The sequence below is a fragment of the Homo sapiens genome, chromosome 20, assembly GCF_000001405.40.
Source record: "Homo sapiens chromosome 20, GRCh38.p14 Primary Assembly".
Lineage (NCBI taxonomy): Eukaryota > Metazoa > Chordata > Mammalia > Primates > Hominidae > Homo > Homo sapiens.
This window is the reverse complement of record NC_000020.11, coordinates 13,833,341-13,860,634: the sequence shown is the minus strand read 5'-3', so window position 1 is coordinate 13,860,634 and position 27,294 is coordinate 13,833,341. Positions and strand designations below refer to the sequence as shown.

General features: G+C 43.9%; 1 protein-coding gene across 24 annotated transcripts in view; it reads left to right on the top strand.

Annotated features, from left to right (window-relative positions):
- SEL1L2 (SEL1L2 adaptor subunit of SYVN1 ubiquitin ligase) overlaps positions 1–11,388 on the top strand; it is a 146,087-nt gene extending 134,699 nt beyond the window's left edge. For 11 of the 24 annotated variants that reach the window (XM_047440521.1, XM_011529374.3, XM_011529376.3 and 8 more), the window contains 3 exons: positions 1,201–1,373; positions 10,316–10,444; positions 11,028–11,232. In XM_047440521.1, coding sequence (XP_047296477.1) covers positions 1,201–1,373; positions 10,316–10,444; positions 11,028–11,150 — 425 coding nt within the window. In that variant the 3' untranslated portion in view covers positions 11,151–11,232. Of the gene's footprint in view, positions 1–439; positions 596–1,200; positions 1,374–10,315; positions 10,445–11,027 lie in introns of those variants that run through there. The other 13 variants (NM_001363752.2, XM_047440522.1, XM_006723652.4 and 10 more) reach the window with 6 other exon arrangements.
- The last annotated feature ends 15,906 nt before the right edge of the window (positions 11,389–27,294 follow it).

Sequence of the window (27,294 nt, the reverse complement as noted above, 5' to 3'; positions counted from 1 at the left end):
GAGTTGGGAGCGAGCCGTTGACATTCCACATTTAGGAAGTGGGCAGAGGAGTCAGACAAGAGTTTGAAATAAAGAGCCCATGCAGTAGAAGGGAAACCAAGAGAAGGCAGTGCCATCAATGCTGCGACAGGACAGTGCTTGGGCAGATGGGGCCCATCACTCCAGTGCTGCTCAGACGTCGGGTAAGATGAGGCCAGAGATGTGGCAATGGATTTGGCTGCATGGAGGTCATCTACCACCTTCAAAATAGCAGCTTCACGGGCAAGGGGGCAGAAGCCAGTTTGGAGTGGGTTGAAGAGTCCATGGGAGGTGAAGCTTTGGAGACAGTGAGTATAGAACACACTTTTGAAAAGGTTCAGTGTAAAGGGGAACAGAGAAATGGGGCATGAGCTAGAAGGAGACACCACAGGATAAAGAGAGGGTTTATTTTTGTTCATAGAAGATGCCAGAGCGTGTTTGAATGGCGGACAGGATTGATCTGGGAAAGAGGGCGACACTGTTGACGCAGGAGAGCAGAGCTTCAGGAGTGACGTCTGAGAATGGGAGGGATGGGGTCCAACTTCCCAAGAGTTAATCTACTTAAAAAAATTAAAAGGTAAAATTGGTAAGTTTTTGTTCTTTAAGAACATTTGGCCGGGCGCGGAGGCTCACGCCTGTAATCCCAGCACTTTGGGAGGCCAAGGCGGGTGGATCACCTGAGGTCAGGAGTTCAAGACCAGCCTGGCCAACATGGTGAAACCCTGTCTCTACTAAAAATGCAAAAAAAAGTTAGCCGGGCATGGTGGCGGGCGCCTGGAATCCCAGCTACTTGGGAGATTGAGGCAGGAGAATCGCTTGAACCTGAGAGGCAGAGGTTGCAGAATGTGCCATTGCACTCCAGCCTGCCAGCCTGGGTGACAAGAGTGAAACTCTGTCTCAAAACAAACAAACAAACAAACAACAACAACAACAAAACATGCATACTATACCATGGATGTTACGCTATAATGAAAACAGTTAGCATTGAGTGTTATATTTGTATTCCATAAAGTATATCTAATTCCAGTTCTGGGGTTCTGAGTGTTTTTGGTTCCTTTTTATACTTGGCTATAGATACATATATATTTTAAAGGACTGAAACAAGATTACTAGGTTGAATTCCTGAGAACTATACATGAATCATTTGAGTTATGATTCTTTTTTCTCTAATATTTCTATCAGGCAATGCATTTGCTAGAGTAAAAATTGGAGATTACCATTACTATGGCTATGGGACTAAGAAAGACTATCAAACAGCAGCCACACACTACAGCATTGCAGCCAACAAATACCACAACGCGCAAGCCATGTTCAATCTGGCTTATATGTATGAACACGGCTTAGGCATCACAAAGGTAATTTTGCTGGTAATAATTCAAACCTAGTAATGACAGCTGTGTGAGAAGACAGAATGTGTAAATGTTTTGAATTTCATTGATGTCATCAATGTAGAGGAAGGAAGGAGAGGACTTAACATTTGCCAAATCCATCCCTTGTGCCAATACATATTACTTACCCTAATATGAACCTTATGAGATAGAAGTTATTTTCTCCATTTATGCCAAGGACATAACTGGTGAGTAGAAGAGATCTAGTCTAGGCCAATTCAACTAGTAAGTTCCTGCTTTTTGCAGCACATGCTTTTTCCAGTAGGCCCTGTCTCCATTTTCCTTCACCTCTGGGCCTTTCTTTCCATTAAAATTTCCACTGGTTCTCAAGCTCTCAGGAACAAGGAGAAAGTGAAAAGAGACCAGAGCTGGATACCAAGGTGGTATTAATCCAGAAAAGTCTTATGAAGCACCTACTGTGTACATGACCCAGTGCTGGATACTCTAGAAAGGCCAAAGAGAGTGAATCTCCAGTCCCCCAAGACTACACTTGACTTGAGGCGATGAGTCATATTCACTTAGAAAAACAGCCAGCACTGCAAGGTGGTATTGAGTAAATCTCTTAGACAGTGAGTAATTAAGGCAGAAGATGACATCAGGGTGTCACAGAGTGAGAAAGATGTATTCAGTATCAATAACGATAATAATAGCCAGGCATTGGGTTAAGTGGGCTATGCGTTTCTGTCATTTACATCACACAACCACTCAACGAGATAAGCCCTAGAACTATCCACTGTGTATGCATCAGGAAGCCACAGCGCAGAGAGGTTATGTCATTTGGCCAACCAGCTTGCGGAGCTCGTCAATGGTGGAGCCAGAATTTGAACCCAGCCCTATCTGACCCTGTTTTTTGGTGAAAGAGTGGGCCTCGCAGTGAGTCATTCTTGGTGGTCAAGCATGTGAGCTTTTCATTCCTGGCTGCGTTTCTAGAGCCAAATAACGTGGGAATTATCGGCTTTCCTATGCGCTCTTCTTTCTTCCGGTTGTGCTAGTAATTGAGAATTATTGGTAGGGAATTTCCTATTTGAGAACTGCTAGTGGTGCACAGTGAAGCCAAGGGCTTCTTATTCAGCGGTATGGATCCCTGCCATCCTGTCCTCCCCTGCAGCCTGCCTTTTGGCTGATCATTTTTCATTAGCCCTGGCACCCTAAGCAGTGGAAAGAATGTCAAATCCAAATCCAGTCTGTTTGCCCCATTTCTAGCAGTGTAAGCTTCCCATGTTTGTAAAATGTGGGTAAGAATGGGACAGGATGGATAGCTAAATTGGATAATTCTTGGGATGTTATTTAGCCATCCCTGGGCCCCTCACCCATTATCCACCTCAGTAAAACAGATATCTGCCCTGCCCCAGGCATTAAGAATAAAATGAATAAGATTTTATGAAAGGGCTTTGTAGTCAAACAGTATGTAGAATGACTGCTATTTAGATCAGAAGGGAATTAGAGCAACTGCTAAGTAAGGCTTCAATAAGATTAAAGCCTTTCTCTACTCATCATTCCTCATGCAAAACATAATAATATGGGAGAAGCACTGTCTATAGAAGGGATAAAGTGACCCCACTCCATGTGTTAAATTCATGTTAGCTTTCCTATCCTTGGCACCACCATGTTATTCAAAAAGGACTTGGTTGCCCTGACAGCTGTATTCGCACCTAGGTGAGGCCATTTTGCCTGAGTCCCTGGGGACAGGCAGGTGTCCTCTCAGGACACAGAGCCAGCAATGCTGGGAAAGGCACACTGCTGGCCAGTGCCCAGCTGGCGGACTGTCAGAGGGTTTGGTTTTCCTCTTTGGAGTCACCACTGATCTGTTTCCTAAGCACTTCCTTCACAATGTCAAATAGTAGTTGTTGAGACACACGTTTCATACATTCAGGAAAACACTTAAGTTTCTCTCTGGCCAGTTTTCTGTTCTTTTCTACCAGGGTTCTTGTTAAATCATGGGTAGTTCATTTTGAGCAGTCTCTTTCAGTCACAAGTCTATTTTTTTTTTCCTACAGAAAGTCTCTACATTAAAAAAAAAAAAAAATCAGGGACTACTCTTAACCTCCCACTTGGATATGAGAATTTTAGGCTGAGCTAATGAGGGACCATTGCCCTTTGTTTTTATTTGGTTTCTTTTGTTTAGCAATTACAAAAATAATAACTGAGTATCCAGAGGTATCTTGCCATCTCAGAGTCAAATTTACAAGGTGCTATCACCTTCTCTAATTCTTAAAATGAATATCCTGATAATTAAAAGCCCAAAGCTTGTTCTAATGAAAGCAAAGAGAGTAGGAGAATAGGCCTTCCCAGCAGTTAAGTCATCAAGTAATTAAGCATTTCTTCAATGAGGCACTTTGCAATCCTCTTTATTAGTTAATCCTCATGCAAACTAGTGAGAAAGATGAGTATAATACCACTATCACAGTGTCTTTGAGAATCAAAGAAGGTGATATGGAATAATGCTTTATAAACATGCAGACATTTAAGACCTCTGGGGAAGAAAGGTATAAATCATCTCTTGGTAAATCAATATTAAAATATGGGTCATTATTTTTATCATCTGTCTTTCAAAAAGGAAGTTGGGGCTGCGATGATGCAGGTGAGCTATCCTAGTAGCTTCACTGAGAAGCGTCTCAGCCAGTGAGCTCCTTGTCTCACTGACTGCATCATTGTTCTGGGAACAATGAATAATGGGAGTGACTGCATCATTGTTCTGAGAACACTGAATAATGCCTGGGGAGGAACTGGGAGAGGACCTGAAGTAGTTCAGAAACACAAGCATTCACACACAAGTTGTTATGAAACTGTTTCTCAGAGGGCCAGGCATGGTGGCTCACGCCTGTGATCCCAGCACACTGGGAGGCCGAGGTGGGCAGATCACTTGAGGTCAGGAGTTTGAGACCAGCCAGGCTAACATGGCAAAATCTTGTCTCTACTAAAAATGCAAAAATTAACCGGGCAAGGTAGCATGTGCCTATTGTCCCAGCTACTTGGGAAGCTGAGGCACGAGAATAGCTTGAACCCCGAAGGCAGAGGTTGCAGTGAGCCAAGATCCAGCCTGGGTGACAGAGCGAGGTTCCCTCTTAAAAAAAAAAACCCCAAAAAACAAAGAAACAGTTTTTCAGTTGATACTTGATTTGTAAGTACTTCGGAAATTGCACCATGAACAAAGCCTGTTGCCCATCCCCTCCTGGCCATCCTTTCTGTCTGTACCTTGGCTCAGGTCTGACTTTCTGCTCACCTCAGCTTGTAGTAAAGACTACTCAGGGGTCTTCAATTCTAGTGTTCTCCCTTTAAATCTGTGACCGAGATGACTCTGTTCACCAAAGATTTGCAATCCCCCATCCATAGTGAGGACTTGTAGCTGGGGTGCACCTGCCTAGTCAAAGACTATGTTCTCCAGCCTCCTTTGGATCCACCTGCTAGCTCTCGCAAGGGCGTGGAAGTGGAAGTGAAAGTGAAGGGTGTCATTTCTGGGCTAAGGCAGCCAAGAAGTAGATGTGGCTGCCCCCAGTCTCTTTCCCATCCATTGGCTGAAGGCGCCAGGAGATACAAAGGCTTTAGGGGACCCCAAAACCAGGTGATGGAAGGAGTTTGGCCCCACAATTACCACATGAAAAAAATTCACCACCAACCAGGAACATACGCTTTGGAATGCTGAATGGGGGAGAAATAAACTTCTATTGTGTTAAGCCATTAAAATTTGGGGATTTGTTACAGATAGCATTATCTTAATAAATAATTCATCTAACAAAGCACTGACAGGTCATTCTTGATAAAGTATAACCTTTACCTCCTCCGTCCTACCCACCCCTCTATCCTACCCTCTCCCCCAAATAAAACCGCCAAAAAATACAAACAAGCAAACATACAAATAAAAAGAATCTTATTTACTTTTTATTGCTAAATGAAGTCCAGACTTCTATTCCACATTCAAAGCCCCCAGTGACCTAGCCTACCTTGGTAATAGTGGTGTGATATAGCACTTTGCCCTATATAGATTCTAGGCTACTTATTCCTTCCCCTCAAAGACCTTGACCTGAGCCCTCCTGAGATATCATCCTTTTGCTGGAATGATCTTACCCCATATTTATGCCCATTGAAGACTAGTCCATTTTTCAAAGAACAGCTCCAATGTCATCTCCTCTAGGAATCCCTCAAGGAACCCCAGATTTTTTTTTTTTTTTTTTTTTTTTTGAGACGGAGTCTCGCTCTGTCACCAGGCTGGAGTGCAGTGGTGCAATCTTCGGTCACTGCAACCTCTGCCTCCCAGGTTCAAGCAATTCTCCTGCCACAGCCTCCCAAGGAGCTGGGACTACAGGCACGCACCACTATGCCCAGCTAATTTTAGTATTTTAGTAGAGATGGGGTTTCACCATGTTGGCCAGGATGGTCTCAATCTCTTGACCTCGTGATCCACCTTCCTTGGCCTCCCAAAGTGCTGGGGTTACAGGCGTGAGCCACCACACCTGGCTAGAACCCCCAGATTTAAAAGATATCTACTTCTAAACCATCATGGTATTGCACTCTGCTTTTCATTCATTTATTTATTCACTCAAATATTTATCAAGGACTATTTCCTATATCAGGAAGCACTGTGCTTGGTTCTGTGGATACAATAAGAACAAGACAGCCTTCAAAGAGCTCACAGTCCACTACAGAAGAGACTTGTCCATAGCTATAGTTAAGCCTAAAATGACAGTCATGTATAGGCACACGCACACTTGAAAAGAATTAAAAATAAAGTACCATAAGTATGTTAAAGATTACCTCTTTAACATACCTACCAGCTAACTCAGGTAGGGGAATCAGCACTGCCAGGTCCTGTTCAAAAATATTTTTGTACCATGGAGTACGAGAAACATATGACAACCTTTTTACATGGAAGAAATCAGGCCTGTTTAAAGACAATGGATAGGAAAGCTGTTCTAAAGTATGGCAGAAAGGTGGGGGAAATTATCCTTTGGGGAAGAGTTTCAAATACATATATGTAGACCTACTAGGTAACATGTATTTTTGGATTCTGCAGAGAAAACAAAACCACATCTACCAAATAAATTATCAATAGACCTGTCAAAAATAAAAATGATTATGACACAATGCATTTTTATTTCTCATTGGTCTGGTCTGACCACCCATGGAGTGTTACAGCTGAAGCTTTAAACACCAGAATTATTTTCTGGAAAGGATAAGTTAAAATTAGGTATTTAAAATGGCCCTCTCAGAAATATGGCAGGACAGAAAACACATTTCTTAGAAATGATCATAACTTTTCATGAAATAAACATCTATCATCTAGGGAAATAATCAGAAATATGCACAAACAGTATTTTGTGTGTGTATAGCTTTATTAGTTACAGAACAAATTTCTACAAGTAACGAGAATGCTCCAAAATAGAAGCCATGTTATATACGTTATTGTATAGTGGTATACTATTCCACAATGTACTTTGTGGCCTAGTGATTAAGTGAGAATACTAGAAGCAGACAACCTAGGGACAATCTGAGATTTGAATCCCTGCTCTGCCACTTGCAAGTCATATAAATTTGAGTAAGTGACTTTCTCTCTGTGCCTCAATATCTTCATTTTCAAAGTGAAGTTAATAGTATCACCTGTCCTATAGAATTGTCCTGAAGATTAAATGACAGTGGTAACTGGCACACAGTAAGTATTTAATACATATTAACCATTATTACAATATACTCTGCAACCGTTAAAAATATTGTAGACTAGGCTGGGCACAGTGGCTCACGCCTGTAATCCCAGTACTTTGAGAGGCCAAGGTGGGCAGATTACTTGAGTCCAGGAGTTCAAGACTAGCCTGGGCATCATGGTGAAACCCCGTCTCTACAAAAAAAAAAAATACAAAAATCAGCCTGGCATGGTGGCACACATTTGTAGTCCCTGTAATCCCAGCTACTCAGGAAGCCCAGATGGGAGGATCGCTCAAGCCCTGGAGGTGGAGGCAGCAGTAAGCCAAAAGCCTGCCACCGTACTCCAGCCTGGGCAACATGGTGAGACCCTGTTTTCAAAAAAAAAAAATTATAGGCTAGCGGAATATATTAGGACACTGCATATTATTTGAAATATATTGTTAGGTTAAGAAAACAGAAGATGTAATATTATGCTGAGTAAAAAATTTCTAAATTAAAAAGTATGTATATGTGAATATACATGAAATGCTAGAAGAATGTGTATAAAATATTACCAGTAGTTATCTCTGTACAGTGAGATTGTGGGTGGCTTTTTTTCTTATTTGTTCAGTTCTATATTTCCTAAGTTCCCTCTAATTAACATATGATATATTTATAAAAAGAAAATAAGAATAAATTAGTCAAAAACGACCTTCCCATTCACATGCTCTGTCCCAGTATAAGAAATTTTTTTTATGACATCCAAAGATTTGGGGCTGGAAAACTCCTGCATCGGGCAATTGTACAATTTTCATAAACCAGCTATTTTACTGCAGAAGAATTCTGTATCTTTGAATTAAAAGAAGCTATTTTGAACATCTGAATATTGGGCAGTATCCACATAACATTTTAGTTAAAAACATGTTCTTTTAACAAGAGTCTGCAGCTCGGTTTACATAACCTCTTTAATCACTGAATTTAAAGCAAAATAAACTCAAATGTACCACAGAAAAGTTAAATCTAAGTGGACTGGGTATGTAGTGGACTTCTCATTTAATGAACTGTGGTCATCTTCAAAACACCATCTGGAGGAGATTTTTTTGTTTGCATGACTTAGATTTTTTTACTAAATAGGGTCAAAGAATGAGGAGTCTTTTCTAGTCTAGTACTAAAATTTCTTTTATGAGTTGCCCTAGTTAGCTAGAAGCATTCAAGAATTTCCTTCTCTGGGAATTTTAAAGAAAGGCTTTCACATCACCCCCCAGCCCCACACACACTGCAAATTGTGAGGTCTCCTGGACAAGGAGTGAGTTCATCCCACTTTAATGGTATTTCTCACTATTTTTTACTATAAAATACTAAATGACTGAATTGTAATGCTTCTACCGCAAGACATAAGTGAATAACTATTGACTGCCTCAAAACAAGAAATAAGCATGAATGCCTGAGATTTTCCCCGAATGTCCCATCCAAGTCAATATGTCTTTCACGTGTGCAGCATGAAAGCTGTTATCATCTGCAGGGTGCTTTCAAATGAACACTGAATTTGTTGGAATCAGAGACACAAATTAGGGTTTTTACAACATCTATTTAATGTTGCCAGGAAGATTTGTTCCAATCTCCTGAATTGTATTTTAAGCAAGAACTTTCCTCTTTCTTCAACAAATCAATTTACCAGACCATAAAGCTTTGGAAAATATTTAAGCTATAATAAGCAGAACACAGCTGAGAGAAGACATCACCCCCACCCCCCGCAAAAAAACACAGTTTTAACAGCATCCTCAAGGATTCACAAGTATCAAAGCCTAAGTAATGGAGCAAGAAAGACAGATATTAGGATGACCACAGTTTGTGAAAAATTCCTCTTCTTCCCTTTCTTTTGAAAATAGCCCATGGGCACCCAAGCAAAATCTAATTCTGGGACTGGCCCAGGGCACTTTCACCTTTAAAAGCAGCTCCACCTTGTCTACGGTCACTCTGTTTGGGCAAACCAAAAATAAAGCAACACATAAAACAAGGCATGAGTAGATGAAAAAAAAAGCCATGGCATAATTCATGAAAAAAAAAAGCTCCTGAAAATATAGTACTATATCATTTGAGGACTCTGTCTTCAACATGAGAGCCAAAAATAGTTTCTTCATCATCCTGTAAGTATTATCAAAGACCTACTGCGTACTAGGCACTTCATTGAGGACTGGGAATTCAGGGGTGAACAGACAGTCCAAGCCCTTGTTTTTGAGGACCTGGAGACAAACAAATGAATAAATAAATTCTAGAACTTCAGGTATGGTAAGTACTATGAAGATAATGAGAATTGTAGATAATGATTACTAACTACCTGTATTCTGACTTATTTTAGAGAACTGTACAATTTTTTTTTTCTTTTGAGACAGAGTATCACTCTGTCATCCAGGCTGGAGTTCAGTGGCATGATCTTGGCTCACTGCAACCGCTGCCTCCCGGGTTCAAGCAATTCTCGTGCCAAATAACTGGGATTACAGGCATGCACCACCACACCTGACTACTTTTTGCATTTTTAGTAGGGACAGGGTTTCACCATATTGGCCAGACTGGTCTTGAACTCCTGGCCTCAAGTGATCCACCTGCCTTGGCCTCCCAAAGTACTGGGACTACAGGCGTGAACCCCCCTGTGCCTGGCCCTATTCTCCACCCTATTTGTTGGAATCACAACTAGGAGCTGTTCCAGGGGTATCCAAGAAAGCTTTCTGGAGATTGTGTTAGTTTTCTATGCTTGCTGTAACAAATCACTACAAATTTGGGGACCTAAAACAGCACAAGCTTATTATCTCACGGTTTCTGTAGGCCAAAAGCCCAGGTGATCTGACTGGGTCTTCAGTTTGGGGTTTCACGAGGCTAAAATCAAGGCTGTTCTTTATTGAGGGCTCTGGGGAAGAATCCACTGCAGGGCTCATTCCGGTTGTTTGGTGGAATTCAGTTAATTGAGGTTGTAGGACCAAGGTTCTTGTTTCCTTATTGGCTGTCCAAATTCCTTCTCATTCCATGTGGCCCCTTCCAACAATGGCAAGTTGAGTCCCTCATGCTGAGAATCAATCTGAAGTCTCCCTCCACCACATCTCTCTTTCTTCCATCCCCAGCCCTGAGATAACTCTGTTTAAAGGTTCATTTGATTATCTGAGGTCCACTTGGATAATCCATGATAATCTCCCTATCTTAAGACCTGTAACCTTAATTACATTTGATATTGTGAACAATGGTGTCTGTTTACTTACCCCTACAGAATCTGATGGGTAGGGCTATTCTTCTCCTTCTAGGACATTCACTTGGCCAGAAGATTGTACGACATGGCTGCTCAAACGAGTCCAGATGCCCACATACCTGTGCTCTTTGCCGTCATGAAACTGGAAACTACGCATTTGCTCCGGGATATCCTGTTTTTTAATGTAAGTTTGTCTTGAACAGGTCCTGAATCTCTGAAAGTCTCCAGTGAGCAACTCTTAGGGACAAAGTGACAAGGCCCATCAGGGAGTCTCTTGTGGACTGGCTTTCCTTTGAGAAGTAAAATTCAGAGTCTTACACTTGCCATGCAGAGTAATTCTGCATGTTCTATTGAGTATGTGTTGACACTTCAGAGTATAAGCAATTAATTCATTCAGCAGATGTTCTTTTCCAGTACACACTACATTCAAAGCCTTAAGCACAGTGACATGTGCTATATATACTTCTTCAAAACAGTTCTTACCATCAATAGCCGAGACTGGTAGGCAGACGGCAGGTGGCAAGGGATACCACAAACAGCTACAGTTTGAAAAAAAGTAAAGTGTCTAAATCTTTGGGGTTATTCTAAAGGTGCTATTTAAGCCCCTTGTGGAAGATGTAAGCAAGCGAAGATTGTGTCTTCCAAGACTGAAGGAAGCAAAGGGAATGGGTGGGAGGAGGGTTGGTGGTGGTGGGTTTGGGAAGAGATGGTGGCTCTGAGTGGAGGTGGGAAGCTTGGATTGTTTTTGAGAGAATGTCTCTTGCCAGCAGTTCACAACGAGATGGAACTGGCTGAAACTGGACAACACCATTGGACCACACTGGGACTTATTTGTGATTGGCCTCATTGTTCCTGGGCTGATTTTGTTGCTTAGAAATCACCATGGGTAGGATGCGGATCACAGGAAAACCTGCTCACGGGAATCAGTTCACTCCAAGGTATCCCCACTAAATAAACAGTTTCCCATCCAAATCAAGAGTCCGCTGCAGTTTCCCGCTCAGGGCTGTGATGGGAAACAGACAAGACTTGGGGACCATCCTAGAGAAACAACTTCAGACTTCCTGCTTAGTAGAGAAAACCCTTTGCGGGATGCTGGGAACTGGTCACCTAAGACCTTGTTACCAATCTGTCATCTTGGTGACCTAGTCCCACGTTATGAATAAAGACCACCCATTTTCATGTTGTTAGAACAACCTCCCCTCTGTCAAGAGGACGCACTGGGTTTCCTGACTCCTACAGACAAACTAAGGTGAAGAGAAGGGGGAGTTTGGAGAAGGCAGAAATCCAGATCCCTCAGAATATGATAAAGACACAAATATACAAATAGACCTTGTACAAGCACATCCTATAGGAATGACCTGTGAGAGACTCTGGAGCCCTAATGAGTCACAGCTTCCCAGGGCATGTCGTACCTGAACGAGGGAATGGGGGTTGACCCGGGCTCTTCACTGAGAGGCCTCTCTCAAAGCTCCCTTAGTAGCTGTGTTAGTGAACAAAGCCAGTACAGCATCACACCCCTCTCCTCCATCCCTCATCAGAACCCTGTTCTCCCTGGGGCGTCCCCCTTAGTACCCCCTTAGAAGGAGATTATTCAAGCCTCCTAGGATGAAAGCTAAAAGGCCCAGATTCTCTGGCTTCTCTGACAGGCAAATCAGGGGCCCAGGCCTAAGGGACAGGGGCTGGTAAGGAGAGTGTAAGAGGCCTAGGACATATGTCAAGGGCCAGGCTCAAATCCCGGCTCCAGATATTTGTATTTTCTTCTTCTTCTTCTTCTTCTTCTTCTTCTTCTTCTTCTTCTTCTTCTTCTTCTTCTTCTTCTCCTTCTCCTTCTCCTTCTCCTTCTCCTTCTCCTTCTCCTTCTTCCTCCTCCTCTTCTTCTTCTTCTTCCTCTTCTTCTTCTTCTTCTCCAGATATTTGACTTCTTCTTCTTCTTGTTCTTCTTCTTTCTTCCTCTTCCTCTTCTTCTTCTTCTTCCTTTTCTTCTTCTTCCTCTTCTTCTTCTTCTCCAGATATTTGACTTCTTCTTCTTCTTCTTCTTCTTCTTCTTCTTCTTCTCCTTCTCCTTCTCCTCCTCCTTCTCCTTCTCCTTCTCTTCTCTTCTTTTCTCTAACCTTCTCTTCTTCTTTTCTCTCTTCTTATTCTTCTTCATCTTCGTCTTCTACTTTTCTTCTTCTTTTTTTTTTTTGAGACGCAATTTCCCTCTGTCCCCCAGGCTGGAGTGCAGTGGCAAGATCTCGACTCACTGGAACCTCTGCCTCCCGGGTTCAGGTGATTCTCCTGCCTCAGCCTCCTGAATAACTGGGATTACAGATGCCTGCCACCACGCCCGGCTAATTTTTGTATTTTTAGTAGAGATGGGGTTTCACCATGTTGGCCAGGCTGGTCTCAAACTCCTGACCTCAAGTGATCCTCCAAAAGTGCTGGGATTGCAGGCATGAGCCACCACACCCAGCCAATATTTGACTTCTTGAGCCTCAGTTTCCTGGTGTGCAAAAAGGGAAGAATAATGCCTATCTTAGACAACTGATATTAAGATTAAGTGGGATAATGGATGTAAAGAGACTGGCACAGGGCCTGGCACCTAGAATGAGTTCCATAATTGGTAACTTTTAATATCCTTTAAAAAACTCATGGCAAATCCATTGGGGAGAGAGCTGAGTTGGTAACAATCTGTGTGGCTTCAGCGCTTTGCAGTTAGTTCTCCAGCTAATGTGCTAGGTGCTTAGGTAGGAAGAGATCTTGCTTGCTTACTTAAAAATCCAATTTAGGGACATGAAAATTTAATTTATAATGTCAACCGTAATCAAAAGGTAGGATGAAATGGTGGACATGCACTGAGTTTGGGATCAAACAACTTGGATTTGAAGTCCAGCTCTGTCCCTTAGTAGCTGTGTAACTTTGGGGATAACTTTTCCAAATCTCAGCTTTTCCTCCATAAAATGGGATTATTTCCTACCTCACTGAAGAATTGTGAAGCTTAAATAAACCTAACATCAAAAGTGCTTTATAAATATAGCACACACACATACTGGCCACAGTCATTTATTTGGCCAGGAACGAATCCAGGTGGTGGATTCTGAGGTCCAAGTGTTTAGAATTTGGGGGTCATGTCCCTGACTTATTAGGGAGTTCCAGTTCCCAGGGATGCAGCCTAGTTTATAGAAATGTGCAGGAAGGGGCAGCATCCAAATCTCAGGTCAGGACGTCATGGAGAGGGCAGCCATGCTATGACATCTCACAGGTGTCAGGAATGTGAGCACATTAAGGACCAGGATGAGAACAGAGAGGGGAGCGCAGAAGGCAGCATTGGTGAGCCCTGCCTCAAAGTCTGGATGAACATGAGCTCCTTAGAGGTAAACTTCTGGGAGTGACTGCAGGCAGGAAAGAAAGGGAGACCTGTTTGGGGACTTGCTGTGTAGAGTAGAACACTGCCTGAAATATAAGAGGGAGGGCAGCCTGAGTTGATATGTTTCCCATTTCAGCTAATTGTTCCATGTCAATGTGAGACATGGAGCAAGCTTTGAAAGCAGGAGTGCTTTAGGCAGTTTCAATCATTCAAATGTCCATTTCTGGGCCTCTTCTCCTGGAGCCGCCACGGTAGCGGTTCTCACCACCTCTGTGCATGGTTGGGCATCTTGCAGCCTCTGGACATCTCCGAGATGACTGACAGAGGGAGGGAGAGAGCCTCCTGCCTGAAAGCCACTGATGTTTCTCGGTTATTGCAAAATCCCACCCACTCTATGGGCACACAGAGCCCTTCTTCATTTTCTTACTTCTGATGCTTTGAATAAAAATGGATAGCCTGTGGGCTACAAGATATCTAGTTTTTTTGTTTGTTTTGTTTTTGTTTTCGTTTTTTTTGAGATGGGGTCTTTCTCTGTCACCCAGGCTGGAGTACGGTGTCACGATCTTGGCTTACTACAACCCCCGTCTCCCAGGTTTAAATGATTCTGCTGCCTCAGCCTCCCAAGTGTACGCCACCACACCCAGCTAATTTTTGTTGTTTTTTTTTTTTTTTTATGAGACAGTCTCACTCTGTCGCCAGGCTGGAATGCAGTGGCCCAGTCTTGGCTCACCGCAACCTCCACCTCCCAGGTTCAAGTGATTCTCCTGCCTCAGCCTCCTGAGTAACTGGGACTACCGGTGCGCACCACCACACCCAGCTTTTTTGTGTGTGTGTTTTTAGTAAAGACGGGGTTTCACCATGTTGGTCAGGATGGTCTCGATCTCCTGACTTCGTGACCCGCCCACCTCGGCCTCCCAAAGTGCTGGGATTACAGGCGTGAGCCACTGCACCTGGCCTAATTTTAGTATTTTTAGTCGAGACGGGGTTTCACCATGTTGCCCGGGCTGGTCTCGAACTTTTGACCTCCAACGAACTGCCCGGCTTGGGCTCCCAAAGTGCTGGGATTACAGATGTGAGCCACTGAGCCTGGCCCAAGGTATCTGTTTTTTAAAAAATCTAATTCTTGGTTTTGTGCAGTGGCTCACACCTGTAATCCCAGCACTTGGGGAGGCCGAGGCGAGCGGATCATGAGGTCAAGAGATCGCGACCATCCTGGCCAACATGGTGAAACCCTGTCTCTACTAAAAATACAAAAATTAGCCGAGCATAGTGGCGGGCGCCTATAATCCCAGCTACTCGGGAGGCTGAGGCAAGAGAATCACTTGAACCCAGGAGGCGGAGGCTGCAGTGAGCCGAAATCACACCACTGCACTCTAGCCTGGTGACAGAGTGAGACTCTGTCTCAGGAAAAAAAAAAAAAAAAAAAAAATCTAATTTGCTTTTGTGACTCCCTTGATTTCCTCCCCCAATTCTTCATTAAATTGGAGTAGCTCTTCAAGTAAATCCATTTTTCAAAGGCAAGTCAGGTAAATAATTTTGTTTCTCTGGAGCAGGGGTCCAGAGTCATTTTCTCAGTAACATTCTCCTGGAATTCTTTTCTCCAAAATCTTGAGTAGTGGAGGTGCTATATAGTTTGCTGCATTCCCCTCACTGGGCATCCCAGAAAGCCCTAGAGAAGAGGGCATGGTGAGGCTGAGAAGAGAGGAAAGAAACATTTTGAAGCACCTGCTATGAGCCAGGCTCTGTTTCCATCTGTTTTCTCATTTCATCTTCATGATGAGGCTAGGAGGTAGCTAGAATGACCTCTGTTTAACACAGGAGGAAACTGAGGCCAGAAGAAGCTAGAAAAGATCACGTAGCTGATAAATAATGGAGCTGTGATTTGAGTCCAGATCTAACACCACAGATGTTCTTTCCTCTATGTTACGGTTCCAGTTATTGCTTGCTTCTTAACAAACTTCTCCAAAAGTTAGGGTCTTAAAACAACAATCACTTCATTTTATCTCAAGATTTTGTGGGTCAGGAATTTGGGCAGGGTGTGGTCAGGTGATTCTTCTGGTCACTTAGTGGATGGGCTGTTCTAGAATCCAAGACAGGTTTACTCACTCAGCAGTGACTGTTGACCAGTATACCCACATCCCAGATGCGGCCTCTTGGCATGGTGGACAGAGCATTTGGGCTTTTTACACTGTAGCTCAGCATTCCCACAGAGAATGTTCACAGAGACACAGGCAAAAGCCACAGCTTTGCTAAGACCAAGCCTCAGAAGTTCCAGAACATCCCTTCCACCATGTTCCGTTAGTCAGGCATTATACTCCGTCTCTCAGTGAGAGAAGTAGCAAAGAATTTGCAGCCATATTTAACCTACTATAAAAGATACTGTTTAAAAATCTACCAATGGTTACATAAATTACAGTACAAAAATTGGCAGAAAAAAAATGCAGCCCAAGCCTGAGCTGCCTGTTTTGGAAAACAAGGATTAGACAGCCCAGTTAGACGCGTGCCTGGCTCTCTTCATCTTCCCACCTTTCAGACTGAAGAAATGCAGATGTGTGAAGGTAAGTGGAGGGGGGAAGAGATGTCCTCCTCTGTTCCTTAGCTAAACACACACACACCCTCACATTGGCCGCTACACACACGCACACACACACACACACACACACACACTCTTGAATAATGCTTAGTTCTTTGCTTTGGCTCAAGAGACATGAGCCAAGAGATGCAGAGTCCCAGCATGGTTGGGACTCTCTGTCTGGGGCACCCTAGGTGCAGGCTCCACTCCTGTGTCTCAAGATTCATTCCTGACACGCAGTGGGTGGGAGACACACCCCAGACCCTCTCAACCACCTCCCATCCTCATTCAATTTCCGTTCCCGAACCCACAGTCCCCATAAGCCTAGCTCCTCTGCCTCAGCTCCTGGCTGAGGTCCTCCTGTGGGGATATGACCTTTAGCATGGGTTGCTGTCAGCCATCCTCTGCCCTAGGGTTCTGCTGCTGGATGGGGGAACACAGGAAATTGTGCATCCTTGGAGTGGAGAGTGAGAAAAGCAGCCCTCACTATGGACTGGCCTCTAGATGGGAATGTATCAAATAAATAAATTGAACTTCTCGTGAACTGTGATGGTCGATCTTATGCTCATGTGTTCCCTAAGCCTTATTATGCACAAAGAGCATCTACTTCTTCCCAGTTTTTCTTTTTTCTTTAGAGATGGGGTCTCACTATGTGGCCCAGGCTGGATTGGAATTCCTGTGTTCAAGTGACTCTCCTGCCTCAGCCTCTTGAGTAGCTGGGACTACAGGCACACACCAGTGTGTCCAGCTCCCAGCTTTGGGTTTTAATATCAAAGTTACCCCCTTATTAGTTTAGCACTGGGTGGCGCTGGGCTAGGTATTAAAGTGTGGGAAAAACCCTTCCAAACCATCCTGCTAGTCAGGTAGTTACTGACTGGAGACTCATGGTCTAGAAAATTCATGGTTTTGAATTTTCAAATTTTAATTTTACATTGCATTTTATCCTATCTTCGAGTAAGTGATTAGAAAACCCAGAACTCCCATTATTAAAAATAAACCTTCACAAATTGTCTGGCCACGAATGTCACCTTGACATTGTTTCATTTTCAGCAACTTCAATGAGCTTTACCTGAAAATTACTCCAAGTTCTTCCAGGCTCTCCCACTGTCTTGTACTGTTCCCCACATCATTTAGCAACAAGAACACATGGACCCATGGCCGGGGGCAGTGTCTCACACCTGTAATTCTAGCACTTGGGAGGTCGAGGCGGGTGGATCACCTGAGGTCAGGAGTTCAAGACCAGCCTGGCCAACATGGTGAAAACCCCATCTCTACTAAAAATACAAAAATTAGCTGGGCATGGTGGCAGATGCCTGCAATCCCAGCTACTCGGGAGGCTGAGACAGGAGAATTGCTTGAATCCGGGAGGTGGAGGTTGCAGTGAGGCCGAGATCATGCCATTGCACTCCAGCCTGGGTGACAAAAGTGAAACTCTGTCTCAAAAGAAAAAAAAAAAAGAACACACTGACCCACAGCAGATGCACTGGGAGAGAGTCTCCAAAAAGATTCACTCCTATTAAGAGAACCAAGGAGAAAGGTAGCAATACTCAACCACTGTCTTCACAATAGCAGGCAAATCAGACCAGGACAATGACTCCTCAGCAATATGAGGACCTGTATTCTTCCAACAGCTGTGAGGCCACCTTGGGGCCTGGCCCCAGCAAACTGGGGAAGTAGACACCTGCCCCAGCCAGCACAGAGCAGATGTGAACTGGCATGTTACAGGCCTGGAATGAATCTGCGGTAGGCCAAGTAATTTACACTGAAGGAAACCAAAATATTTGTCCCTAAAATATTGAGGATTGGTGAGCTAAAGACAGCTGAGACGTACGGAGACTCTCTGCCTCTCCTTTGTTTGCCTAAAGGCAGGACATAAATCCCGTCTTACTGGAGATAGCCACTTATCAGCCTAGAGACGGCACTAGCAGACACCAGAGAAACCTGCGAGCAGACCTTACTTCATGAGTATCTTCCCACAGCTTTCCCCCTTTGAGAGACTGGAACTGTTCTCTCCTTTGTCTTGTCACTGCACTAAAATTCATTGCTTTTTGTTAAAATGCTACTTAAACAAAGCTTAAAGCCTCAGGTTTCCAGCCAATGCTTTGAGAGTCACTTTGCAGAGTTACTTTTCTCCCCCATGATGGACACGGCATGTATACATTATTAAGCATACCTGTTTTTCCTTTGTTGATCTGTCTTTTGTTTCAGAAGGGTGACTCAATTATGAATTTATGAGAGTGGCAAAAAGATTATATAATTTTCTCCCCTTCCACACATTATACAGAAATCTGAAACCAAGCAGGAAGAGGAGTCAATGTCATAGTTCCGAAGAAAAGGGCCTCCCTTAAGAAAGCCTCATATACATTTCAAATTTCAGCCATGTGGTTGTCTTCATTTAGGTTCCCCCAGAAGCTGACCATGAGACGAGGATTTTTGCATGCAAATAGTTTATTTGGTAAGTTATATTCAAGAAATATAAATAAGGAAGGAAACCAGTACAGAGAGTTATCAAAAAAGTTGCCAGGCTGGGCGCAGTGGCTCACACCTACAATCTCAACAATTTGGGAAGCTGAGGCAGGAGGATCACTTGAGCTCAGGAGTTCAAGACCAGCCTGGGCAATGTAGAAAGACCTTGTCTCTACAAAAAATAAAAGTAAAAAACTAGCCAAGCGTGGTGGTGCATGCCTGTAGTCCCAGCTACTTGGGAGGCTGAGGTGGGAGGATCACTTGAGTCAAGGAGGTTGAGGCTACAGTGAGCTGAGATCACGCCACTGCACTCCAGCCTGGGTGACAAAGTGAGACCCTAGTCTCACAAAAAAAGGTACCACTGTGAGTCACCAGAGCTCAGTCCCACTGGGGAACTCTGGTATAGAGCACGCACCTCATGGTTATCCCACCCAAGGGACATGAGGGCAGGATATTTATTCACAACTGCTCACAGTCATTGGTTGAGCAGTGCTTTAAGTGGAACATTAATTTTCCGTACTTCCCACCCCCCATGTAGGAAGGTGGAGCCAACAGGGAAAGCCCTTGGGAAATGGATGCAGGTGCTTGCAGTTAGCAGCTTTGCCTCCCAGCAATGAGAAGCCCCGAGGGGATGGGGCCAGGGCACTGGCAGCATCTGGGGCAATGATTAAGAGCTGCTTTCCTGACCCTCCCACCCTTTCCTTCAATAAACAATTCCCTGAGCACTTACAGTGTCCCAAGCACTCTGCCAAGGACCCAGGAAGGAAGAGCTGCCCTCAGGAAGCTTGCAATGTGTGCTGTAGAAGAGAGAAGCCTCCATTATTAGGGCATCTACTCTGTGCCAGTCACTTTCCTGGAGCTAGCTCACTGCATCCACCCAGGCATTCTGTGAGGTAAGATTCTTCTTCTCATTTTATAGACATGCCATGCAACCATCTGATTACTTCTTCAGAACAGTGTAACCGTCAGCAGAGGATATTTAAAAGCAGGATCGTAGTATCGATGCTAGCTGATGAACAGTTTCCGCCTCTAGAAGAAACGCAGATGCGAGCAGAGTAAATGGGCTGATGAATGCATGCCGTGTGTTGAAAGAACTGAATGCAGTAAGTAGGCTGCAGCCGGGACCTGCTTCAGCCTGGGACCCTGAGTGATGGGGGACAGGAGTGTGGGACATGGTTAGTTCTGCCCTGTTTCCTCCCCTCTTCCCACCCTACCTGCCTCTGCCTCCTCCATGGTTGAAGGGAGTGAGGGTGGTGAGAGGGTGGTTTAAGGAATAGGAAAGATTTCACTAAGCTGGCACATAAGTTATCCAATAAAGGTGCCCGCTGAGCATAGAAGTTCACTGTGTCGACTCCCATGAAGCACTTTTGCTGCTTTCTTGGGGATTCCATGCTGGGAACCTTATGTCCTTGCTTGGGATCTACCAAAAGCACAGCCTGAAACAAGAATTTGGGTATAGGTAGCTCATTTGGGAAGTGATCGCAGGACTCAGAATTGAGGAAGAGAGAAGGATGAAAAGCCATAAAAAAGCATGCGGTTTTAAAGTTACTGCTGTAGGCAATGAGGGTCCTATTCTACCAGGATCTGGAAGGTTTGCAGAAAACCTCCCAGAATTGTCTGCCTGAAAGACAGTAGCCTGAAAGACAGTAGGCTGGGTCACTTCCCACCCGCTCCCTTCCCTGTCATTTAAGGATTGCTCCCAGGGTGCATTAACTGCCCCCTCATCCTTTCTCAGCTGCTTCGGGGATGTCTCTGAGGCAGAACCCGTGCCTTCCCTTAGTGTTAGGCACAGTTAGCAGGAGTCTGCCTTGCACAGAAAGGTCCTCTGCAGCTGCAGTGAAAATCACTGGGCAGTCAAAGCATCTGCTTCATGAGTGAGGTGTTCTGAGCCTTGAGGTCACCCACTGGTCCATGAACAGACTCTCTTGGATGGGACTCTACCTGCAGTAGGCTGAATAATGGCCTCAAAAGACATCCACGTCCTAATCCCTGAAACTGTGAATGTTCCATGTCAGAAAGGGACTCTGCAGAAGTGATTAAGGATCTTGAGAGGGGAGATTATCCTGGATTATCCAGGCAGGCTTTAAATGCAATCACAGGTGTCCTTATAAGAGAGAGGCAGAGAGAGATTTGACATAGACAGAAGAGGGGAGATTATCCTGGATTATCCAGGCAGGCTTTAAATGTAATCACAGGTGTCCTTAGAAAAGGGAGGCAGAGAGATTTGACACAGACAGAAGAGGAGGAGGCAATGTCACTATGGAGGCAGAGAGAGGAGTGATGTGTCCACAGCCCAGGAATGCCAGCAGCGCCAGAAGCCCAAAGAGGCAAGGGATGGGTTCCGCCTTAGAGCCTCTGAAGGGAGTGTCTCAGCCTTCTGGCCTCCAGAACTATGAGGGAATAAATGCCTGTGGTTTTAAGCCACAAATTTCGTGGTAATTTTTTTTATAGCAGCATTAGGAAATGAATACACCATGCACTGGCTCCTCTATGTTCTTTTCCTGGTTCCTGAGGAACACACACTCTTGCTGCTGCTGGTGGTGGAGGGCAGTTAGCTCCCAGGGCAGCCCGGTTTCTCCTGCTGTCTTGCTTCTAGTCTCACTCTCTCCTCAGGCAAGTAGCCTCAGCCTCTCCGCATTTGGCATGTGTCACACCCCAGTCCACTCTGTCCCCCACACTCTAGGACCACAGAGGAGGCTCTCCCAGTGGCTCTCTTATAGCCCCTCTCCTTTGGCCAAAGTTAGGGGCAGAGCTCTCTCTCCCCATCCCCAGTGGGAAATGCAACAGCAATCAGAAAACTCCAGGAAAATTTGGCCTCTGCCCTCCTACTTCCACCTTCAAATGCCCTGCCCCTCACCCCCATCCATTTGCAAGTTCCAGCTCAGAACATCCAGCACCTCATTTTATAAAATTGGGGCCACTTGGCTCTCTTTGTTAACTCTCAGCCTTTGGGCTTCAACCCAAACCAAGCCTCAAAGGGTCCCATTTTATCACCCAGAAAACCCGAACAATTTCACAGTTGAGACCTATGCTCTGGGCTGGGACGCAGCAAATGGCTCAGCCCCAGATGCTCCAGGAATAATGCTGTGGCCTCGGTCACGTTATCTGTCCAGCTTCTGGACGAGTCTACAATTCCAAAGCCACGAAACTGTCAACAGTGTGCGCACCTAAAACTTCTGAACTAAGACAGGCCTCCCTGCCTGTGGGAGGTTAGACAGAAAAGTCTCCCAAAGCCCAAAGAAGTGATGTTTGTGGCCAGGCTAAAGTCCTGTACTGTAAGTTTGTAATGGCTTCCTAAAAATAGTGTTTGCTCACTCTATTCCACAGTCACAAAAAAACCACCTGAGACGTCAGATAGGGAATTTGTTTTTTAATTTAGAAGAAATCATTACCAACAAACGAAAGAAAGAAAAGAAAAGGAAGGTGGAGAAGGGGTGAAGAGACAAGCCTTGGATTCCACGTGAGATTCTGCTCTATGTGGGGCTATAAGTTTTCCCATTTCTGTCTTCCCATCATTCCTCACTCTGCCAGAACGAATTCTGTCTCCCAGAGGTTTTTTTGTTTGTTTGAGCGGAGTCTTGCTCTGTCACCCAGGCTGGAGTGCAGTGGCACAATCTCAGCTCCCTGAAACCTCTGCTTCCCGGGTTCAAATGATTCTCCTGCCTCAGCCTCCCAAATAACTGGGATTACAGGTGTGCACCACCACTCGTGGCTAATTTTTGTATTTTTAGTAGAGACAGGATTTCACCATGTTGGCCAGGCTGTTCTCAAACTCCTGACCTCAAGTGATCTGCCAGCCTCGCCCTTCAAAGTGCTGGGATTACAGGCACGAGCCACCATGCCTGGCCAAGAGTATTTTGTTTGTATGTAATTAATATAGAAAAACTACTTATCTCCTTTAAGACACATTCTTTTTATAAGAAAAAGTAGCAACCCATAGCAACAATAAATATGCCATTCTAACAATAGCTTGTTATTAACAAGAAAAATCATAAAAATAAAAATAGCAATTTTACTAGAGGAAACTTGAGGGAGGGATAGTCCTGGGCTGATACACATTTCCAGAGGCAGTCCTTTAAAGTTTTCAAACTCCTGGGGGTGGACAGCCTTTCTTCTCAGCGTCTGCTCCTGGGGAAATGAGAACTAAAGCGACCTGATGAAGAGAGCATTGTTACATTTTCCAGATAAGAACACCCTGGCTCAAATCAGCAACTTGCCTCAGGTCACACTGCTAGTTAGTGGAGAAACTGAGGATTCAAACTCAGGATCCACCCCAAAGCCAGTGCGCCTTCTTCTATGCTATCTCCTCCCATGTTATCTTATTATCTTATTGTCAAACATAGCTTTCACTGTAGTTATCTATCAATTTTCACTTTTCCCATTAAAAATATCAAAGTGGACCCAAAAAATCTACAACCTTATTTTGAAAAAATCTTTTTTTTTTTTTTTTTTTTGAGATGGAGTCTCACTCTGTCGCCAGGCTGGAGTGCAGTGGTGAGATCTCGACTCACTGCAACCTCCGCCTCCCGGGTTCAAGCGATTCTCCTGCCTCATCCACCTGAATAGCTGGGATTACAGGTGCCTGCCACCACACCAGGCTAATTTTTGTACTTTTTAGCAGAGACAGGGTTTCACCATATCAGCCTGGTTGGTCTCGAACTTCTGATCTTGTGATCCACCCGCCTCGGCCTCCCAAAGTGCTGGGATTACAGGCGTGAGCCACTGGGCCTGGCCGAAAAATCTTTTTTAAAAAATTCATGTTTCAAAGCATCTTAGAGAAAACCTGACCAACATACAAAGCCCAGAAAGACATCATCAATTTTGCTATGTGATTTATTAACAACTCAGAATGGAATGTTGATTGTGATCAATCAATACTATTGACCAATTGATTGTGATTGTTTTCTGAGCTACACTAACTTTCCACAGTCTGATTTCCTCTCCCATTACTGCCCCTTCCCACTGTATGTAAATATGCCTTCCAAAGATAACTCCCTTTCCTCTGGAATAGATACCCCAGTGCCCTACCCATGTCCCCTCAGCCCAGTTCTGAGACCACTGGCATCTTCCATGGGTAGGCCCCTTGCCAGCTTTGGATTTCTACCTCAGACATCTGCCCCTGGGGAGGTTCTCTGGCTGCAGGAGCACTATTGGCCACAGGAAAGGTAGACCAGAAGTGCCCGGGAGTTAATGCTCCCAGCACCCCTCCACCAGTGACAGGCAGGAACAGTTTCCTTGACCCTTGGTGGGCTGATGTGCAGAGTACATTCTGTAAAGTTTCTCAGAAGGTGTCCAGCAGGATTGAGCCCCAGTTGTTCACTGCAGAAATCTGCTCATGAACGCATTCTTATTGGTTTTCTTCCTTCCCACTTTTCCACTCCCTCATCTTCCCACTCCTTGCCAAATAAACTACTGCACTCAAATCGTTATCTCAGAGTATGCTTTTTAGGGAACCTATAGCAAGAAGAAAAAGTCTAAGGAAAGATCATGTTAAACATTCCAGAAGACACAGAGATAACTACCAGGTTGGGAATAAAATCAATGTTTGTTTACATACCCAGTACATTGTACACTGGGTATGGAAGCAGGGGCCACTGTAAAATTTGCTCACTTTTGTGTTTTCAGCACCTCACATTGTTCCTGCACAATAAATGAATAATGAATGAATGAATGAATAAATTAATGAACAAATAGATGAGGATTCCTAGCTTTCTCCTAAGGTTAAAGTGAGAAGTTATTCTAATTAATGCCAAAGAAAGGACTAGGATTATAAAAAAAGAAATATGAAATGAAATAAAGAAAACAGACTTTGTTTTCCTCGATTCTCACAGGACACTTCTGACATCAAATATGTAGGAGGTTTTTCAGCAACGAATTCTCTAACTCTCTGGACACCTACTGAGTGTCCCACATTTCAATTCAATTCTAACACTACTTAGAATTAGCTTTAGATCCCACAAATCAGAGGGCTCAGTCCCACAAGACTGACTGCCTGTTCAGATGCCAATCACAAGTAGCAGATTTCCAGGTTGCCCACACTTCTGTCTGCCCTGGCTACACATTGGGGGTTGCCACAAGCCCCTCCTCAGGTTTGATAATTTGCTATAATGGTTCACAAAACTCAGGGAAACATTTGCTTACATTTACTGGTTTATTAAAGAATACTGAAAGGACAGAAATGATGAGCCAGGTGAAGAGGACATAGGGTGAGTTCTGGAAGGGCCTGGAGGAGTGAAGGAGTTTCTCCCTCTGTGGACTTGGGGTGTGCTATCCCCCCAGCACATGGATGTGTTCACCAGCCCAGAAGATCTCTGACGCCGCCTTTGGTGGATTTTTATGGAGACTTCATCACATAGGTATGATCAATTATTAACTCAATCTCCAGCCCCTCTCCCCTTCCTGAAAGATGTACAGTGGGGTGAAAAGTTCCAAGGTTCCAAGCTCCTGATCAGGCCTTGGTCTTTCTGGCATCCAGCCCCTATCCTGAAGCTAGCCAGGAGCCCATCAAGAGTCACCTGATTAGAACAAAAGATGCTCCCATCACCCAGGAAATTCCAAGAGATTTAGGAGCTCTTTGTCAGGAACCAGAACTGGGGTCAATGACCAAATATTAGAGTAAAAGACACCCAGCACCCCAATCACTTAGGAAAGTATGAGAATTTTAGAAGCTCTGTGCCAGGAACCAGGGATGAAAACCAAATATATGCTTCTTATTACATAATATCACATGAAATGATGTAATAATGTAAACAATCATCTATAAAATTTGAATAAATGGAAACATACTATTGTGTTCGAACAGGACAGTGCCAAAATATAGAGATTAATTTTTCCAAAATGAATCTTTAAATATAATACATTCTTGGCCGGGCGTGGTGGCTCACGCCTGTAATCCCATCACTTTGGGAGGCCGAGGTGGGCAGATCACCTGAGGTCAGGAGTTCGATATCAGCCTGGCTAATATGGTGAAATCCCATTTTTACTAAAAATACAAAAAATTAGCTGGGCGTGGTGGTGCGCACCTGTAATCCAAGCTACTCAGGAGGCTGAGACAGGAGAATGGCTTGAACCCAGGAGGCGGAGGTTGCAGTGAGCCGAGATTGCACCATTGCACTCAAGCTTAGGCAACAAAAGCGAAACTCCATCTCAAAAATAATAATAATAATAATACATTCTTAATAAAAATACCAACAAAGTGCTTTTTAAACTAGGTCAGTTGCTTCCAAAGTTTGTAAGGAAAAATAAACATAAATGAATGGCAAGGACAATTCTGGAAAAGGAGAGTAATGAGAAAGAAATAGCTAAACAAGCCAATAAAATATAAAGCTATGATAATTAATCCATTTGAATAAGACAGCATAGAGCATCCAGAAATGACCCAAATACATAAGGTGGCATTTCAAATCAATGGAGAAGGGAGGGTGTGGTAGTTCGCGCCTGTCATCCCAACACTTTGAGGCAAAGGTGGGAAAATTGCTTGAGGTCAGGAGTTTGAAACCCGTCTCTACAAAAATTTAAAAAATTAGCTGGGCATGATGGCACATGCCTGCAGTCCTACCTATTAATACTTGGGAGGCTGAGGTAGGAGAATTACTTGAGCCCAGGAGCTTGAGGGTGTAGTGCACTATGATCGCACCACTGCACTCCAGCCTGGGTGATGGAGTGAGATCCTGACTCTAAAAAACAAAAAGGGGCAATGGTAGGTTATCCAGAATTGTATTGTAGTATAGGGTAGCCCACTGGAAAAAATAAATTCAAATCCCTATCTCACAAGTTTCATTGAAAGAGATTTCACACAAGCAAAGATTTAAATGTAATAAATAAATGAACCTGTAAAACTATTACAAGAAACGTGGACTTTGTTTGCTTTTACAATCTAGAATGGGGAAGCCCTTTTTTGACCCGATTAAACAAATTCAGCTGCTCCAGGCACAAATTTTGTAGTTTAAGAGCAGCTTGTGGCCAAGCCATCTTCCCAATATGTTCTATATCAGGACACACCAAGGAAACAGAGTGCTGAGAACTTCGGCGCTCATTAGGGAACTAGAGTCCTAGAAAAATGAAAGAAGCAAAAGCTTTGTGCACGTAGGCCCATAATAATTAGCCCAAGGCTGGTGTTTCCTGGGACAGTTATTAACATAAGGTCTTCTGAAGTTCCTCAAAAAAGCAGTGACAATCTTCTGGTTCTTAGTTTCTCCCTGTACTGGCCTGTTCATGATTTTAGTCCATAATAGGATGCCATTAAATTAAAACTTCATCAAGTTGACTAAGAAAGCAGGAGACTACGTTATTGAGCTACCGGGGACTAACCATCGAGGCAAATATTCCCCCTAAGTCCAGATTACATTTTACATTTGTGTTATTTTTAAGTGATCTGATAAAAAAAAAAAAAGGACTGAAGTGTGGGAAAACTGGCACTCTGGCATGCTGAGGCTAGACTGGGTGGTTTGGGAGTTTATATCAATTCCACCTCTTGACATTTACAGTAAATAATAACCAAATACATGCATAAAATTAGCTATGAGGATGCTGTTTCCCTGGTGTTATTTATAATGACAAAAAATTGGAAGTCACCTAAATAATACACTAGATAAATAAACTGTCATACATCTAGTCAAGACAACATAGAGCAATTTAAAATGATGCCATT